General features: G+C 38.6%; 1 protein-coding gene and 1 pseudogene across 2 annotated transcripts in view; both read right to left on the reverse strand.

The window, feature by feature from the left end:
* Positions 1–21,100, reverse strand: part of PDZRN3 (PDZ domain containing ring finger 3) — a 242,511-nt gene that overhangs the window by 204,762 nt on the left and 16,649 nt on the right. For both annotated transcript variants that reach the window (XM_017005942.3, NM_015009.3), the window contains one exon: positions 15,162–15,269. In XM_017005942.3, coding sequence (XP_016861431.1) covers positions 15,162–15,269 — 108 coding nt within the window. The remainder of the gene's footprint in view (positions 1–15,161; positions 15,270–21,100) is intronic.
* Positions 6,748–6,810, reverse strand: RNU7-119P (RNA, U7 small nuclear 119 pseudogene; annotated as a pseudogene).

Below are 21,100 nucleotides of genomic sequence, written 5' to 3' on the forward strand. Positions count from 1 at the left end.
ATGGCATTAGAAGAAAAAGAGTAAAATACCAATACCAGACTACACCGTATGCAGTAAGGGTAAATATCTCGCATGAAACTTTTTTTCCATTTTTATACATACATCCCAGGCTCACTTACATTTGTGAGTGCTGCACTGGGTCACATATAAAATGTATTTCTTACTGTAGGTCAGTACCAAAAAAGTTTGCAGAATACTCTTTCAAAGAACAGTGTAGAATGAGTTGCTGTTTGAGTCATACTTACATCTATGCTTAGGCCGCACGACGGACAAATGTACATACAGTAAATAGCTACAAATGTATAAAGATAGTATAGTTTTTCAGAATTGTATAAAAACAAACAAAAGTTTGTTTATCAAAGAGGGATTCCCCAATTTCTGGTCAGTAACATTAATATTTATCTTCCTGCCTCTGAAGTTTTAGCAGTGAAAGAATTCTTCCTCTCTATAGTGGATTCTAATCTCCAAGGACTCTTTCTTTCCTCAACCAACCAAACCAAAGCAGGCACATGAAAAGTTTAGCTCAGACTGGTACACGACAGCCCTGGGCATGCTGAAGTCAGGGAGCACTTCACTTTATTTTAGGTGACCCTGGGCTCTGCCATTAAAACGACCTTGAATGACATGATGTCATTCCACTGTCAATCTCTAACCCAAGTTATCCAAGTCACTCCATTGTCAATCTCTAACCCATCTGCTTACATCTAGAGCACAGAGTCAATTTGAGGCAAAAATGTTTGTTAACACTACTTGTTTTTTAAAAAAATTTATTTCTTCTAAAAACGAAACCAAACAGGGATACATGTGCAGAACATGCAGGTTGTTTAATAGGTATATGTGTGCCATGGTGGTTTGCGGCACCTGTTGACCTGTCCTCTAAGTTCCCTCCCCTCACCCTCCACCCCTCAACAGGCCCTGGTGTGTGCTGTTCCTCTCTGTGTCCATGTGTTCTCAATATTCAACTCCTACTCATGAGTGAGAACGTGCAGTATTTGGTTTTCTGTTCCTGTGTTAGTTTGCTGAGGATGATGGCTTCCAGCTTCATCCACGTCCCTGCAAAGGACATGATCTCATTCCTTTTTATGGCTGCATAGTATTCCATGGTGTTTATGTACCACATTTTCTTTGTCCAGGCTATCGTTGATGGGCATTTGGGTTGGTTCCACATCTTTACTATTGTAAACAGGTAACACCACTTTTAAAAATAAAGTTTATCCAAATGTAACATAAAGAAAGTGAACTCATCCTAAGTGTACATCTTGGTGTATTTACACAGGTGAACATGCTCCTGAACTACTGCCCAGATCGGGAGCAGAATGGGACCAGCACCCTCAAAAGCCCTCCTCAGTCCTGTTTCCCACCACTGTCCTGACTTCTACTCCCACTAATTAGTTTTGCTCTTAGACAAAGAGAAAGCAAGGCTCAAAGACCAGAGTTTTCAGCTGTCTAGCTTAAATTGACTACCTCTACATGTTCAGTGTTTATTTTTACTCTTATCTTCTATTTACAACACATGACAATGACTTTCCATTTACAGTCATGACACACAGTTTCTTTTTAAAATAAAGTTAAAAGAATGTTGCTTTAAGAATAATGTTGAGCATTTAGCAAAACAGGTGGCACATATATAGCAAAGACTGAGCAGGTGGTGTATGACTGACTCAAGTCTGAGAAACACTTGTTTAGGTTTGATGATCGATGCAAAATGCTAAACAGGCTTCACTGACTATCCCTCACTCTGATTTTTCTCCGATGAAGGGGGACTCTTTCCACTGCCCTGTGATATATCAGAAGGACTGACTTCCTCTCTTGAATATTCATAAAACAGTTTAATGGCCATCCTCCCAGAAGATATGATTTTTTTTTTTTTTTTGAGACAGAGTCTCGTTCTGTCCCCCAGGCTGGAGTGCAGTGGTGCAACCTCTGCTCACTGCAAGCTCCGCCTCCTGGGTTCACGCCATTCTGCCTCAGCCTCCCAAGTAGCTGGGACACTTTTGGTTTGTATTTGTCACAAGCAACGTGCTTAATCAAGACTGGAAGAAGCTGACTCAGAATGAAAGGAAGAACATTGAATTTCTCTCATCTATCTCTACTATTTTAAGTTTTAAAAGATCACCTAGAACTGGGATGGATTATTACAAAAGGCCACAAATGGCTCTTATTACTGAATCCTTTAATATTCTGATCATGACAAAAAGCAACGAACACTTGTTATGGGCTTAACTTTCAAACAAACTAAAGGAGAAAAGAAAAATGTTATTTAAATAGAAATAGCAATTTCCTTCCTTGTCCTTTTCCCTCTGAATCAGTGTAACTCCCTGTATGTTCTGTTAAATCTGGTAAGTTTAATAGATGAGAATCTCTGAATTTCACTTGTAAGATTTACTAAGTCTATCAAGCAAATCAACCTAAACTTACCTATAAATAGGCTTCACAAGTAATTAAGTCCCTGCATCAAAATAAAGATTTCCTTGTCACCACTTTACATAATACCATCTGCCCAAAGGATTCTCCTTTCATTTCTTACAAAGTATAAATGAAGATTATTAAACACAGACTATATACAAAACAGCTTAAAACTTCATCCAATTTGTCTTGGGTCTTCAAGTGACTTACACAAAATGAAGGCAAAATCTCATGAGTTACTAACGTGAAGCCAACAAAGTGCTTGTGTTCAGGCATAAATGTTCAGATTTATATATATATTCATATAGAGTCATATATATTCATATATATTTTACAAGCTCTTTAATGCTAAGCAATCTGAAAAATATTATTTGTCAAAACGCAGATTAGCTGGGCTCAGCGGCTCACGCATGTAATCCCAACACTTTGGGAGGCCAAGGCAGGTGGATCACTTGAGGTCAAAAGTTCAAGACCCTCCTGGAAAACATGGCGACACCCCATCTCTACCAAAAATACAAAAATTAGTTGAGTGTGGTGACGGGCACCTGTAATCCCAGCTACTTGGGGGGCTGAGGCACAAGAATCGCTTGAACCGGGGAAGCAGAGGTTATGGTGAGCTGAGATCGCACCACTGCACTCCAGCCTGGGTGACAAAGCAAGACTCTGTCTCAAAAAAAAAAAAAAAAAAGAAAGAGAATGAAAAAAGAAAAAACGCAGATTAAAAGACTGTAGCTAATAAAAGTTAAACTGTTTTCTGGAACTTCATTAAAATGCAAATACCAAGGTTTAGGTAACAATTCTCTGAGAAAACAATTCCGTCTAACTTGGCACTTAGTGCCCTTCCTCTGGTTAGGTCTCTCTCTACTGGTTCACATACCAGAGGGAATTAGTTCTCTAGGTACTAAGATGCTAACTTGGGCATTTGAATGGAGAAATAATAAACGTCAACAACTTTGGTACCATCATCTAAAAAGAAAGTAGTTCTTTTTTCTAGTTTTCAAATTTACCTTGTAAAATTAAGATGTTGTTCTGTTGAGAGTATTAAAAAGTTTCAAGCTTTCAATAAAAATGATGAAATATTTTCTCTTGCTTGATTCTCTTGCTTCTACAAATTCCTGTATCACCAGCAATTCTATTCCAAGTCCCCCTCATATGTTAATATTATCTCACTCATGTTTCTTACAAGCACATTGACTTTTTCAGATATTTCAAAGAATGACACAAAGCATCAGAAATCCAATAATAATGCTGCAACACAATCATACTTAATCGATTCTATTTTACGTGAAGTTCTCCCTCTTCATTTAAACTAGAGTTTAGAACAAGTAATGAAAATATTAGTGATCCTTATGCAATTCCCATGCCCCATCAGATTCTAACACAGAAGCCATTATATGCATTCCTGAATGATCAAACTGATATTTTGTCAAGATAATACTTAGTATCAGTAAGGGTTTCTATATTCATCTTTATGTCTTATTGTATTTTTCAATTTTTCTACAATGGTGTATTACATTCATATCAAGACATAAAAAGTTACCCTAAAAAGAAACTAAACTATTTCAATTTTAAGGGACATTTTTGCTAAAGAAAGATGAACTGTTCCTAATTTTAAGAAAATCCCAATATTACTCATGAGTCATTATAAAAACAGAAATCTTAATGTTTTTGGCACTTTAAAAATAGCTGATATTGAACACACAATTGTTTGACTTTATTTTTGGAACACTTATGTCAGCACATATGCAATGAATTACCATGTTGTTCACACTAAGATGTAAATTAAGAATTATTCCTGATTGATCAATTATTCTGATTTATATGGCCTTAGGAAGTGGCAGCTCTTAATGCAGATACAAAGGCTCACTAATATCAAAAAGAAATAAAAAACAAATTAAAATGGTCTACTCACAACTGTAATTTCAGGTTTATGAAACTGTGTCATATAGCCGTCATCAAAGTGTTGGCTTGCTGGAAACCTCCTCCAGCCCAGCCTCTAAAGACCCACAGGAAACAACACAGCATAGCTAACCACCTGGTGAGCATTTATTCCGGGGCCAAAATTGCAGTATTCAGACACACAAAGAATATTTTCTTTATTATGGCAACTTTATCCACATTTTACAGAAGAAAGCAATGCTCAGAGATAAGAAGTTTCCCCAAGATCATGAAGCTCGCAAATGATAGAACTAGAATTCAAAAGTTGATCTGATTCCAGAGTCCTTAGCTCTTAACCTCTGCATATACTGGCTGCCCTTCTAATTAACTTGGTGTTATTTTCCTATAAACATAGGTCTCACATGTAAACTCCCTAGAGCCAGGGAGTTTATCTCTGGGTATCCTGACCTATCTCATATTAGGCAGAACTCAGTGCACACCCAACAAGTGAACATATGTCTACTAATGGTTTCTCTTCCCCTGTTATCCTCTCTTATCCTAACAACTCACACAACATGAAGATTTTTTAACAAGTCACAACAATTATACAGATCATGCTATATAAATCATCCCCTATCCAATGTTTAAAATCAACATCTAACCAGTTTTTGGATGTGCGTTGCATTTATCTGGCTAACGGATCCTCAAATCAATATGTCTGGAAACATATGTCCATTTCCTAGCAACAATCATTCTATGAAAAGAACAAAAAAAACCTGTCTTTTTAAATTAGACTGTCAATTTTGCTCCACCCCAGAGTGTCTCCAAATATTGAAAAATAAAAAATAAACATATTTAGTTCGTTTTAATGCTGACTTGCATTTTTTCTTTTTTTGAGGGGTGTGGGAGTGCCTAGGAAACCAAACACTCTTAGGCTTTGAGTTCTCCCGATCCCTGAAAGCTGTCAAATGACCCACTAGGGTTAGCAGGAAAGAAGGAAGCAATGAAAGAAGGAAATAAAGAGAATTAGAAGAGCCTAAAGGGCAGAGGGGAGTGCCACTCTCAGGAGAAAAGGGGTGAGACCCAGTTTCTATGCAGTTCACGTGGTCATCAAAATAGATTTAAACAGGGTAAGAGCCAGAGGTCTCCACTGAGCACTGTGGCACTTGGCATGGCAGACTCATTCCATACCAGCTGCTCTCCACCGTGAGGCTCAAAGTAATCATTAATCCTCATTAGAAGAAAGCAAGCTGCAGCAGCTACCCACCCTGGAGTACTCAGAGTTCCCAGTGAAAGTGGCATAATTGCAAATCAGTGCTTGCAGCTGCCATTCTGCCCTTGCGTCTTCCTATTTGCAATTACCATTGACAATTTCTGATTGTCAACACTCTTTCCGCCTGTTCATAGCACCCTGGTCTATAGGCACTGTGCTTAGTTTAGCTCCACAATGATGTCTGCCTACTGCTTTGAAGCGTTCCCCTAGCGCTCGCTCATGTTACATATACTTCACAGATTAGCATTTAAGTCAGCCCATCCCTAACACACCTTCCAAATTGAATAAAAATGCATCTGGCTCTTTTTGTGTTACAGCAACAGATGAAAAGACAAAAACTTCCTTAAAAAAAAAAAACAGATAAGGTTACTGCTCTCAAAACCCCCATATTTAAAGATAAGTGTCTAGATATCACATGTAAAGATGACAATATAAAATATATTTGACCTGTATTATTGTCAAGAATTTGTTGTTTTGTTTTATGGTCCTCAGGAAATTACCTAAGATTTAATTTTTTGACCTAATCTTCACTCAAGAATTTAATGCGGACATTGGTTACTTCTAATTTATTCTTCATTTTAAAATGCTTTGTGGATTACCTAATTAAATCTTTTTATGAAAGGAAGACTTTGAGGGACAGATTTAAAACTTCTGTGGAGTCAGAACTCCCAAAAAAGTACATAATGTCAATACAAAGTAAACTCTAACACGGACAGAGGATGGGAGAGACACTCTGCCAAAGAGAAGCACCCAATATCCTGACTGCAGGGTTTCAGCAGGAGACAGATGCCTCTGCGTTTCCATACCTGGCGCCATATGCTATGAGCTTGTAGAAATGAGAATGTTAAGTGACTTTTAAAAGGAAATACATAAGCAGGTGTCCACTTTGTGATATTTAAAATCAAAAGACACTTTTAAATTACCAAGTTTTTAATTCTTACTGTTTACCGAAATAAATATACACACACACACACACACACACACACACACACACACACACACACTTTGGAGAACTCCAACATTACAGAAATGTGGCTTTACTTAAAGTTCCCCATAATCCCATCAAACAAAATAACTACAATAACTATAAACTGTTCATTAGCTCAGAGCATTTTTCCCCTGCAAAGACTAATATAAATGCCTTAAAAATAAACAAATTGCATCATACCATGTTTTATTTTTTTGTTTCTACTGGTTTTTCTAGTAAAAAGTGAAAAACCTGCTAGCTAAATTCTGCAAGAGTTGTAGCACTCCATACTGTCCACTCTTCACCTGAGTTTTATATTTATCTGACTAGTATAAAGTGATGTATGTTAGAAAGATATTCACTGAAAGGCTAGTTTTGATAGGAAAATAAGGAAAATAATGACAGTAATAAATATAACAAAGCCCATATACCACACAATAAGCTATGCACAGTCATTAGAAAGAAATTAATACATAATATATTGTTTAAGGCAACCATGGACTAAAGGAGGGCTATTTGTTTTTAATTGGTCATCTTGTTAATTCTGGAAAGTATGTCTCCATGAAATAGGTTAAGATTTTCTCAATAATTCTATAGCAGCTCCACATACTTGCTGATATACATAAACAAGAAGAAAACAGATCTCAGAAAAGTTTTTGTTAACTTCTATATTTGGCTTTAAGTTCTCGTATCCTGTACAAAAATTTTAACTTGAAATAACAACTCTCCACCTTTGTACTTAATTGCAAAAATCCTTTACCTACATTGTTTCCTTGGTCCACCCAGATAGCATGACAGGTAGGAAAGACAAGCAGTAAATACTCCTCCCATTCTAGAGATGAAGACTCAACATTTAGAATCCCAACACCAGAGTGAATACCTGGGTGGAGACTTAAACCTGGGTCTCCTGATTTAAATCTAAATGGTTCTTTCCATTTCAACATGTTCCTTCTAATAGTAAGGAGATCAGCTGCATTTCAGAGAAGTCTTACCTGTGTTAGAGTCTTCTGTTGCTGTAGTAAAGACTATTAAGGTAAAGCAAAAGTGATAAAAGTGGCTAAATCGGGAAATAAGAGAGGGGAAAATATGATATTCACTTTATTTTACAAGTGGAGACTAAAAAGATGGAGATGTACTGACTTATTGAGAGTGCAGCTATGCTAGTGAAAAGACAGTCATTACTACCAAATGACAATGCAATAGTTCCAAAAACATCATTTAAGTGAGTCTATCCAGAGATAGCAAATACACAGCAAAAAGTCACCCTTCTCCTTGTTTATGTGCCCATGACAAACATCAATAAATGATCACAATGCTCATCTCCACTCAATCCAGGAATGTCCTCAGAATTTTTTGACACCATAATCCAAGGTGATGTCATTGTCGTTATGTATACTGAAATTGATATATAAGAAGAAACTCTAGCTTCCACCTTTGGAAACGGAGAGTTGGAGTCCATTACTAATAACTGATCTCTAAAATCTGCTTACTTTTGCAGCTAACAAAGAATCTTCTCAACGCAGCTTGAATTATATCAAGTTTCTTTAATCAAAACAGAATATTTGGGTAACCAAGAAAACAGAGATTTCAAATAACATGAATAGGTTTTACTTCTTAAGTGGATAACTGCTATCAAACTTTTCATACTCCTCTGCTGAATATGGTAAATGGGGATCAGTCCCTGTGAAGGAGAGGAGTATAGCCTCATGTGTTTATTTCTAACATTAACCAAAAATGGATTATGCATATCTGTGTGTGTTTAGCAAAATAAGTTTCCTGTGTATAGTTAAGCAAGAAATATCAAGTCTTTCTTAAAGAAATGAAAGAAAATGAAAAAATATATAATTACAAAATCATTTGGTTTACAGCATATTTTTTCTCCAAAACCAAACCAAAAATTAAAACACTTTAAACAATTTTCACCAATAATTTTTTAATTCACTGATAACATCTAAGCAAAGATCACAGATTTAATTCAAAGGAAAAAAGCACGTGGATCAGTATTTTAAAAAGGATTCCTCTAGGAATTACAAACTGGATTACAAACTGACTTGGACTGAAATTAGAGGTATTGATATAGGCATAGTTTCCAAGATATACAGATGGATGAATGCAGAAAGACAGATGTATATGTTATTATCGTGGTACATGTGTACATGTGTTTATATTACATATTTACATTTTCTAGCTCTATCTGCTGAAGGTGCCTAGAAGCAATGAAATCTCAATCATAATGAGCACCCTAGCACCCATATTTTGGTTTCTAAACACTATTCTCCACTAAATGAAGCTAGAGGTCCTTGAAAAAAATGCACATGTCAGAAGTGGAGCAAGGACAGAAGATTAACCTGGAGTATCTTGTGCCAGGAAGTAGGAAAGTGCTCAAAACATGATGGGAACATGTCAAAATAACACAGGTTAAAAGCCTGAAAGAGCTCCATTGGGCCAAAACTTGGGACAATGTGACCACCAAATTATAAAAACTCATGAGTCCATATTGACAGAGGAAGAGACAGACAGATAAACAGATTAAATAGGGGAAAAAGGAATACTACTTCTTATAGCGGAAAGTCAACTAATGTGGAAGGATTGGAGTTAGAAAAATCACCATTTGTCAATCATCACAATAACAGATTCAACCAAACACAGTCAATGGATGATAAAACCAGTGTGTGACAGTTTGAGGAGTAGCAAGACATTTACATAGCCTCAAAGCATCTACCTACAGGATAACTATTGATTATAAAGAAGAAAATGGTAACTTTATAGTGGAGACAGAGAGATACGACTTTAACCAAGTGGTTCAAGTTAACATAAAGGGACAACTTCACCTCATGTGAGACCTGTCATTATGTACTGAGAAGGACATGCTATCACTTCTGTGGTATTCTTGCCCAAAACGTATGACCTGGATCCATCCATGAGGAAACTTCAAACAGAAATTAAGGGACAGTCCAGAAAAGATCTGGTTTGGAGTCTTTAAAAATATCAATGGTATGGAAGACAAAAACTGAGCAATTGTTATAAAGTAAAGGAAACTAAATAAATATGAAAATGGAATACAACCCATGACAGTGGTTTTATTTTGCTATAAAGGGCATCATAGGGACCATTAGCAAGATCAGAATAAATTCTGAAGATTAGATAACAGTTTTGTACCAACATGAATTTCCTAGTTTAGATTACCATACTGTTACATATGAGAATGTCTTATTCCTAAAAAGTTCACACTGATGAATTTAGTGATAAAGAGTAGAGGAAGAAAAGAATAAAGTAAATGTAGTAGATGTTAATATTTGGGGAATCTGGGTTAACGGTGTACAGAAATCCATGTCTACAAGTCTGAAATTATGTCGAAATGAAACATTTTTTAAAGGGGAGTCTTCTATTACTTTATTTTTAAATAAATACTCCAGCTTAATTCACATTCCATTTTGCAACTTTAGTGGGTCTCAGAACAGTATCTTCTCACCTAATAATCACAAGCAGTGAAATCTCACTTTGTTCCACCAAGTAGCCTGGCTCTGGGAGGGAAAGCATTGCTAATCCTTTCTAGCTGACCCTGTAACAAACCTTGTTAGCAATGACAGTCCAACTAAACCAAAAATAAACAAAAAAAGAGAATGACCGGTTTACACAAAAGCCTTTGAGGTTCCACAGCTTCTGTAATCATATCCTCGGGTCTTCAAATCATAACACTTGCAAGATGAATGCATATTTACAGAAGATTGTACGAAATAATGGTTATTGGGAATAGAGGGCTTAAGTCTCCCACTTTCATTGGATCCAGGGAATCAAGATTGCTAGCTCAAAGCAGAACAGCGTTTAACCCACGCAATCACTACACAGACTCATTTATCACCAAAGGCAAGCCTCCTGTAACACAAAAATGAGCTTGGTTCTCCAAGCCATATGGCTTGAAGACTGGCAAGAAATATAGATGTGGATGGCCTCTACAAGTCTTTGAGAAAGAATTTCAGTGGAGTTGCATCAGAGGAGTGTTTAACTTATAGGCAAGCCATGACCAAAAAAAAAAAAAAAAGATGAAGAGAGAAATAATATATTGAACAGCACATGCCTCAAAGTGAATTTGCTGGTTTCTTAGTAGGCCTCAGTTTCTCGGTGTTTTCTCAGTGTGAGCATTTTGTCAAATGAGGTATTCACAGAACAATCCAAAAACTCCATATGACAGTCAACTGAGAAACAGTGAGGTGATCCAATGCTGTGCAAAACCAGCTGGCTGGACTTACGAAGAGATGGTATGTTCTCCACGTGTCACATCCCTAAGAGAATTTTGAGGGTAATATTGATCTTATGTGATTTTTCACATTTTTGCCTTCTCCTAAATAACTTTCAGTAGAGTAAGATTGGCCTAAAGTAGACTCCAGAGTCCACAGAGAAAGGTGGTGTGTTTGTGGATGAGGAAATCTGCCTCAGTTGGATAACCCACACTTTGGGCACTGGGAAAATTTTTCCAAAGTTCTCAAACTATTTGAAAGAATATGAGCATAGTTCCTTTAAGAAATCTGGTGATATTAAAGTATAGGAACCTTGCATTGTCTTTAAAATATAGTTCAGACAGTAGGTTCAGAGGCAGAAAAACAAAAGGCACTGAGATATTTACAGTTTCGAATGAATATTAAAGACATCAGGGAGAAATTAAATTTAGTTTTCTAACTGCAATAAGTATATGCAATCAAAGGTGGGGTCGGAAGTTGTAAAAAGGACCAGGACAGCTCACAGGTAAGAGGAGTGCAGGGAAGACACAAAAAAATCAGAAGCCAATACTGAGTAAGTCAGAACTTGCTGAATCCTAGTACCAAATGTGAGATGGAATAGGTATGACCAAAGTCTGCCCAACAAGCCCAGGGCAGATGGACACACAGGATTCCAGGGGACAGCATGGGCCCTGCAGCCATGTGGGCTGGAAGGGCACTTCATCTAAGGGGGCCCCAGATTCCCAGCCACAGCCCCAGGACAGGCCAGCTCAGGCTTTCTTACCAGGCCTTGGGAGCACTCATGTAGGGAACCCAAATAGGGGACATCATGTAGGCAGTCTAGCTGGAAGAAAGGGATGTTGACATCTCTGTCCCTGAGCAACTCAATTCCTATCTCAAGGTTTTGGAATAAGTCAAACCTCTACCTCAGTGATTGTCCCTGATGTCCCTGTCACTCCCCAGTGGGAGTTTCAGCAATCTGCAGGGGCATTTTTCACCATCACAACAATAGGGGTATGTGCCAGAGATGACACGAAGAATCTCCTGCAATGAAGAATGGTTCTGCCTCCAGCACAACTATCACATATCCCACCAGACAGTCATGAAGATAAAATAACAAGCTTTTTATAATTACCTGAGCATAGACCTAGCTCTGTTTTACATATAAACACAACAGAGTTTTTGGCAGTTTAAACATACACACATTGTACACCCACATCCACAGCAGCATTATTCAAGACAACCAAAAGGTTAAAGCAACCCAAGTGTCCATCACTGGGTGAATGAATGGACAAAATGTGGTAAATACAGACAACAGAATGTTATTTAGCCTTAAAGAGGAAGAAAATTATAACATGCTACAACATGTACGAACCTTGAGGACATTATGCTAACTGAAATAAGCCAGTCACAAAAGGCAAATACTACATGATTCCGTTTATAAATCAAATTCCTAGAGACAGAAAGTGGAATGGTGGTTTCTAGGAGTTGAGGTGGGGAGGGAGTTAGTATTTAGTGAGTGTAGAGTTTCAGTCGAGGAAGATGAAAAAGTTCTGGAGATGGATGGTGGTACTGGTTCTGCAACATAAATCAATGTAGTTTATGCCACTGCATAACCATTTAAAATGGTTAAAATGGTAAATTCTGTTATGTATATTTTGCCACATGTATGTCTTGCCATATATACATATACACACACGGACATTTCAAGAAATGCAACTCTTGTATAAATCAAAGCAACACTGTAGTTGCCTGTGTCAGAATTTAACCATGACCTGTTCACTACCATGGAAATTCACATCCTGTACGGCAAGGCCATTCATGGCGCCTGGGCCACCAGCAGATGCCTCTTGTATCTGGCAGCATCTGCAGCCACATAAGGTGCATCCCAGTGAGTCTACACAGATGTGAGAGCATCTGACAGTGCCATGGTATCTAATGTCACTGTGCCAGAACACTGGCATATTGATATATTTTATTATAAATTATCTTCCTTTGATTTTCTTTTATGCAACAGCCTATATATTTTTACAATTATTTGTGTATGTATGCATATAAATGTTACTTGTAAATTTCATTTCACCACAGTATTGGTGGAATTCCAAAATATTTCTTATAAAAAAACAGGGAGGAGCTGGGCTGGCACCGATGTGGGTAAGAGCCGCTGCTCTGGTCTCAGAGAACAGATACCATTAAGAGCAGAGGAACTCTGCAGCAAAGAAAAGACTCAATTAGTATCTCTGGATTTAATAATACCCCTTTGCAAGAATTAAGGGTCTTACGGTGAAGATCTGGTGGTGGTTTGCCCATTCCCCTGAAAAAGAAGACATCTGGTGGAAAACTAGAGACTTTGACTCTTCTTAGTAATGAAACACACACACACACACACACACACACACACACACTCTCTCTCTCTCTCTCTCTCTCTCTCTCAAAATAATCACATTTATGCCTCCTGGTAATAAACTCAGACGCAGATGAGGTAAACCAGAGAACATATTTTCAGTCATGGGAATCACTGTATCATGTCAAAAGAGATTAGAATTTGACTGCAAAAGGCACAGTGTTGTCAATTGCAATTATACATATATCGTTTCTCTATTGTGGTCATCCTTCTTTCCATCTCAACACTACATGATTAATATTTTACATACTGTCCAAAATAGGAATGTGACTTACCAGAAACCGTACTCAACATTTCAAATACAGATCATCCTTTGCCAAGAGAAAATCCTGCCCAGCTGTAGATTTCTCATTTGCAAAACACAAGAGCAATGAAATTCCATTACTTAGAGAAACTGGCTGTTCCACCAAACCCTTGGCAACGGAAGCTGTACTTATCTTTTTGAACAATAGTCTCAGAAAATGTATTCACTCTCAAAAAAGACAGTAAGTAACGCATTTGAGCTCTTAAGAAAGCACTCTTGCCCAAGCAAATTCCTGTTAGGGAAAATCCAGTCTCCTGACCTGGGAAGTACAAAGACTGACTCTAAACCATGCAGCAAAAAAAGCTCCAAGTTTAAGAACCCTTCAAACATTCAAAGGGGATGCAACAATATTAATAATGTCCTTAAAACAAAATCAAGTATCATTTTAGCATGTAAGTTAGCACATCACACTCCCTCCGAGGAGGGAGCCTTACACCCTAACTAGTTCAGTTTGCTTTCCCTGTGAGATTTAACTGTGTATTTTCCTGAGGATTACAAATTATCCTGAAGCATACTGCACGTTGCAGAATGTGTCCAGATGAGACTGGAAATGCAAGACTTTGTTCTCTGTCTTGCTGAGGCTCCTTTCCCCAGGAGAAGCCTGTGGCCACATTCCAGTGAGTGATGTGAACTTCACTTATGGCTTAGCTCGTGGTCCTAGCTCCCACTCAGTCCTAAATTTTGAAATAGGCCATGAAAATACTCAGGAAATACAGACATGATAAAAATGCATGTGGAAAACAAACACCCACTGGTATCGGTGCTGTTTTTCTGGTTTCTTCTATTTGCACTATATTACGGCTGTGGCCCATGGGTGAATTTCTTGTGGGGTCTGGCATATCATCGTGGATTCTCAAATTTACTTTTTGCCTAATAGGAAAGCCAATCAATTTAGCCCATATGTGTATCCATCCAAAGAGCTATGAAAATGGTCAAAACACCAGTAAAAAATTACTCATTTATATCAAACTTTGCAACAAGAGCCCATATGAGAAGGCAACAAATCATTCTCTCCCTTTTAGTGACTCAGAGCATCCTAGAACACTGCAACCCTGTTACAAAGTGTTGTCTGGTGGGGCTGAGAGATCCACTTCCCCTACATGAGTCTACAAACCTGCTGTATAAAAGTTTGAAATGATGAATGACGAACTGAAAATGGAGTAAGTGATGATATGTGAACCCTAATATCAACCTCTGCCTGCAAATCCCTGGGCAATCAGGTTGTACAACTAACAACAGGCAAAGACGACAAACTAACAGAGAGAACAATGCATTTGTAGAAATAAGTGTGTGCTGTGTGAGCTCTGAGGACATTAGAATGACTCCAAAGCTGACACAATTGTACCCTGGTAATCAATATGAACAGGGTGCACAATTTGTACAACAGGGTTCGTTCATCTGGTTCTAACATCCAACTCTTCAACGGTTTTCGCGCGAAACTGTAACTGATGCATACGAAACAGATTGAGGTCCACATGAAAAAAGCCAAATTGTGAACATTCCACTCATAATCTGGCTTTTCTACATTTAACAAAAATTTAACACCAAGGCAATCAACACTCAATCTGGTCCCACACAATGGGAAAAGTGAGACTCCCGCTCAACCATCTACCACTTTAGGCCTCCCTCCCCAGTCAAACATCTTGCTTTGAGCTAGACGAAGATGGGATGGCATTCAGCCTATTCAAAGACACTGGCCAGTATTCACATACCTCAATAATCCTGTCATGAATTTGCAGGCCTCCTTCCTTGGCTGCAGGCCCACTGTCAACTATCTTGGATACAAAGATTCCTTCACTGGATGATCCATCGTGGTTATCCTTTGGGTTAAAAAAAAAAACATGCATGAATGCTAGGCATTAAGTTGAGCATGAAAGTAAAGCTTGCACTCTTAAAACAGTAATTGACTCTTGCTGTGTCAAGAGTGGCAATAGGGTAAAAGGTATTTGTTTCTCCTAATTTCTGTTTTAAACTAAAATACACACACAGTAAAATATTTCAAACCACACCAAAGGACATAAAATGATGCATCCCTGCCATCTCCAACCCATTGTCCTTCTTCCCCCGCCTATGGTAGCTATTTGACTTTATGCATCCTTTTGAAAACATTTTAACACATCATATTCCTAAATATGCATTTGTTCCTTTTTGCATACAAATGTGATTATGCTAGTCTGACTCTTATGTCCTTGCCTCTCTCATTTAACTCTAAAAATCATGAAGATCTTCTGCTACCAATTCGTGTCTGCCTTACTTCTTAAAGTGACTGAACAGTATCCAACATGAGGCTAATAAACACTGTTTTCATTTGCTGTGATTAAACAATGCTGTGATAATACTCTCCTACTTGTATTTTAAATTATCTTTGCTATTATAGTTCTAGGGCAAATCCCTAACAATGGAACTGTTGGGTAAAAGGATATGTACATTTCAAAGATATTGCCAAATGGCTTTTCAGAGAGTTTATACTTATTGTTCATTAGACAGAGTGTTTTCCCACATCCTCATTTGCACAGAATGTTATTAAACTTGTAAATATCTAATAATTTGACTGTGAAAACAGATATTTTGTTTTTGTTCCGATGCACTACCATCACTCTAGTCCTAATAAATTCTGATCTCTGACCTCCTTGAATCTCTTTAGATCTTTGAATTAAATGTCAGAACTAAAACTTTCTGGGAACGAAGACAGCTCACTGTTCAAACTCCTTCCTTTCCTTAAAATCAAAAGGCTCCAACAAGCTCATAAAAAACCCTCACAGCTTGTTCACGAACTTCTTTTCAAACAGCACTGCAATGAATTCTCTCCAAGTGTACGGATTAAATTTCTAGTGATTAACAGATGGATTTATAAATTAAATGGCACAAGCATGTGATATTTCCAAACAAAATCATTTGAAATGTAAGCTCAGAATGTTCCACAAAAACTCCAAAATCTAGTCATGGTAAATTCCTTGCCGTATGTCATTAGAAGATTTATTTCAATAACAATTACTCTGAATACAAATACATAAAAATTCCATTTGTTAAAAATAACTCTTCAAATAAAACATTTTCCACTTTAAACAGCAAAAAACAAAACCAAAAAACAATCCCTATATTCTAAAGGGGGAAGGAAACGACTTCAAGTGTGATTCAGTCTACCCCTTCAAATGCAACAGCAATAACTAAGCTTGGAAAAATGTACATTTCTCAGTCCTTCTCTCCTTCCTTCTTCACACTTCCCCAAACACACACACACACATACACACACACACACACACACACAGAGTAAAATGTTATATGATTCACCAAAAGAAACCAAAATCACAACCTAAAATGAGCATTAAGTGTTTTTCCTGACATTTATCCCCACATGACAAAGATATGTCTCTAACTGGCATCTGGATTCCATCAACGCTCTTCCAAGAGAAGGGTCAGGGAGCCTGTGGGTGCTGTGTAGGATCATCTATCCTCAAAAGGCATCCCTGCCTAGCATCACAGTGCTCTGCACAGACCTCCTGCACACTAACCCTTTACCATCTGAATACCTCTGTGCCTCCTTCCTCTCTCACGGCAGCCTTACTGAGGCACTAGTCTGAACACATCCGTGTAGCTCCCTACATGCACACCTGAAATATATGTATAAAGCTGCAAAGCAGCTTCCTTTACTGAGCACAAACTAGGTACCAGGTACATAGTGAGTGCTCTATGTGCACTGTTTAATCCTCACAATAACCACAAGTGGTAAGTACTATTATTACCCATTCCACAGGTGAAAAACCTGAGACTGAGAGAGGTTCGGAAACTCATCCAAGGTCACACAGCTAAAAAGTGGTATGGCTCAGTTTCAAACTGAGGCGAAGCGGATCCTCTTGCACATTACATGCTCTGTGTGCAATATTGTCTCCCACTGAGAAAACTCAAAACACACAGGAATTCAGAAGTCCAACATTTCAGGCTATGGAATATTCCACTAGATGAACTTGAAGAGTCTCAATGGACCACAAAAGATTTATGAACAAGCTTGAGTTCCCTAAGAGGTGATGTCAATATATCAAATGAAAAGAGATCTGTGTTTACTCTGATTTAACCACTTTGCATTTCTTGGCTGGAGAGAAAGAGGGAGATAGGGGATAGGATTTTGGCTTTCGTTTGTTTTGCAAAATACCACATTGCACATAAGTAATAACTCTTAAGGAGTACTAGAAAGTTCAAGCAAAAATCAGAGAGGAAGAAGCAAGAACAAACACCAGCAGTGAGATTAAACTGAGACAGTGGTGAGGGGTGGGGAAGGATGCAAAAAGCACATAAAGCAGGCCAGGCATGGCAGCTCACACCTGCAATCCCAGCACTTTGGGAGGCCGAGGCTGGTGGATCGCCTGAGCTCAGGAATTCAAGACCAGCCTGAACAACATGGTGAAACCCCATCTCTAGCAATACAAAAATTTAGCCGAGCATTTATGGTCCCAGCTACTTGGGAGGCTGAGGTGGGAGGATGGCTTGAGCCTGGGAGGCAGAGGTTGCAGTGAGCCAAGATTGTGCCGTTGCACTCCAACCTGGGTGACAGAGTGAGACCCCCGTCTCAAAAAAAAAAAAAAAGCTAGATTTCTCTCTTAAAAGGCATCTCTTTATTCTTAGTTTGTTTGGCTCCTCTCCTAAGAGAGTTAGTTACAGCTATTTATCAAGGTGAACTAATATGACTTGGAATTTATTTTGTTTTGCTGCCTTGAGTAAGAGAGAAATGAAAGGGGATTGTTTTCATAGCAAGGGTACCTAACGATAAAGTACACTTCCCAAAGGCTTAAGTGAGAGGTTTGATACAACAGACTAGCTGCTGTTTCTTTAGGGTTATGAGGACTAACAAATGAATGATATGATTTTGCTAAGAGTATTGCATACTGATCATGCAATGAAAAGCCTTATGTCAGAGCTATGGCTGGGCTATTTCACAACCCAACCAAGCATCTAACACAGGAATTCCTTGGGAAACACAGACATCATTTGTACTGTATTCTTCTAGTAACTAACAACGTGTGTGCATTGTTGCTCATCTTGGCTTTTTAGCATGTACTCAATGACCTGCCAGATTTTCCAGGCAACAGTGCAGAATACATTCAGGTTTCATGATGCTATTTCTGCTAATCAGGGCAAATTTTGAAAAACACTATGGCAAACACATGCACATGGAATTAAATTTTCCTCTGGGGACCATGCAGGCAGTTCTTGCAAAAAGACCACATAAATTGAAAATACTAATGCAAGCTACAAAATCAGGTCTGGCTTGTACTTAAAGCACCTTTTGTAAAAAAGAAAAAGAAAATAACTTAGACATGCTCTTTGATAAGCACAGGGAAGAACTGTATTCCAGTGGGGTTGGAATGTCATTTTGCACCTGGTGAGTGTGGAAACTGAACACCATCTTCACTGGCTTTAACACAGTAGGTTTCCCAACAATCACTTGGCCACAGGCCTCTCCATTTTGAGCAATTTCCAACAGTAGGCTTTGGTGTGGTTTAGACCTGGGGCAGGGAATAGGTCTTCTTGGTTTGGGTTCTTTTGTTTGCTATAGCTTGTGAAACACCTAATTGTGAAGTGAATCTTAATTTATTAAAGTTGTTTCTCAAAACTGGTAACAAAGGGTGGAGGAATAATTATGAATGTAAACAAGGAACAGCCAACTCATCTGTGCTAAATGGCAAAACATGTTCTTGATGGTAAGTTGTAGAACATGGGCTCATGTTCTGAACCACGGGCTCAAGTCTGACCCTGCTGCTTCCTGGAGCCAAATGTCTAGATATTTGAGTGCAGTTTGCTCCCTCAGTCCCTCCGAAGGCTGGAGAGTACGGAGGACCCCTGGCAGCAAGGACTAAATCAGAACAGCACATGATGACATGCAGCCTGGGATCTCAGACAACTGGTAAAAGGAAAAAATAAAAATATACCAACCTCACGCGGTTCTATAGTTTTTTAAGAATTCCACAGAGCGAATGCAAGAAATACAACCATGTGATGACATCCCTGGGGCTCAATAAAGTGGGAATTATCCCTGTCCCCATCTACCTTCATATTTACAATTTAGTCTCACCATTTAAAATGTTCTTTTTTATATGTATGTTTGATAAGACAGATAATGTTCATCATTTTAACAACTGCAAACACATAATTAAGTTGTTGTTTCTTATAATAAGCCATTGTTTGTTTCTTTTTGAAACTGTGGAATGGGCTAAAAGCAAAGGGAATTTAATCATAAATCTCTTTGTGTCATTCCCTTCAACTGAAGCCATGTGTTGGCCACTCCCGCCCTAGGTAATTTAAATCCCAGACTCAAGACTTAGGCCCTTTGGGGTCAAGCCCTTGTTTTCTTCACCAGGCCTCTTTCTGGCCACTTCCCTGCCCATCCCTCAACTCTTTCCACACTCTGCTTACTTGCAGCTCCCCCAGTTCCCAACTCTGTTCCTGCTCCAGGCCTTGTATGAGCGCCAATCCCCACCCCTGCAAAACCCCAGCGTCCAACCGCTTTCTTCTAGCTCAGGGGTCTTCACAGGTGAATGCGTGTAACACAATGCATTGGAATGGCAGGAGAACATACTTCACATTTTCTTCATAGTCATATTTTAATTTCATTATTTAAAATACTCCCTTTTGTACGTAACTTTTTATAAGGCACATAATGTATTCGTTTGGTACTGTGTACACATTATATATACAAATAAAATATGGTCCTCTGATCTAGCAAATTCCTGTTCAACCTTCTGAACTCAGCTCCAACGGCCCCTCCCCAGGACACCTCCTCCCGCAGGGTTAACTCATCCCAGGGCATCATTAGCTGTGGGCAGGCACAGAGTACATCAATGAGAGCAGTGCTATGCTCTCCCAACTCATCAGTCTCTCCATCTGGAGGTGAGCTCCATGAGGGCAGGGCACACACTATTCCTATCTGGATGGCTGGCATCTTCTCGTCCTTTAGGTTTCTGTTTACTACTATCTCCTCTTGTCTTTCCTGATAACCCAAGCTAATGATACCCTTTGCTTCTTGGCTGGTATCTGCCATGTGCCATCCTCCCATTTTTTTTTCCTTCATCATACTTCTTCCAATCCAATCTCTAATTATTGTATTCACTTGTTTCTTGTCTGACATCCCCACCAGGACTCAATGACCACAGGGCCTCAGTCTTTCTGGCCTCCATTGTATCTCCTGGCCCTTAGCAAACAGCCTATGTTCAATACTTATTTGTTGAATGAAAGATTTTTGTTTTCTTTTCCTTTAACTACTTTCCTTTTAAGCTAATAAACAAGGAGATGGTCAGGAAAAGAAAAGGGTAAAGGATGGGACATATTCAGATAATCCCCCTTGAAGTGTGAGATTCTGAAACACATCCACTGCTACTCTCTGGAGCCCGTTCTTTGAACATTTTCCCCATAATTAAACTGGCAGATTTGAATTCGGCCTCTTCTTTCTAGAGGAGGGTCTGCTGATGAATGTGGTGGTCAAAGAGCTGCAGTGGGAAGAGAAAGCAAAGGGATGCAGTCACCCACAAATTAGAGAATTGTCTCTGACTAATGAACAGCTGACAGAGCAGAACTCAAGATCAGGCTTCCAGTCTGGAGCACCACACTCCAGCTCGGTCTAGGACGGTGGCTGGTTACCCAGTTCCAACTGCACACATCT

Source organism: Homo sapiens, chromosome 3 (assembly GCF_000001405.40).
Source record: "Homo sapiens chromosome 3, GRCh38.p14 Primary Assembly".
Classification (NCBI taxonomy): domain Eukaryota; kingdom Metazoa; phylum Chordata; class Mammalia; order Primates; family Hominidae; genus Homo; species Homo sapiens.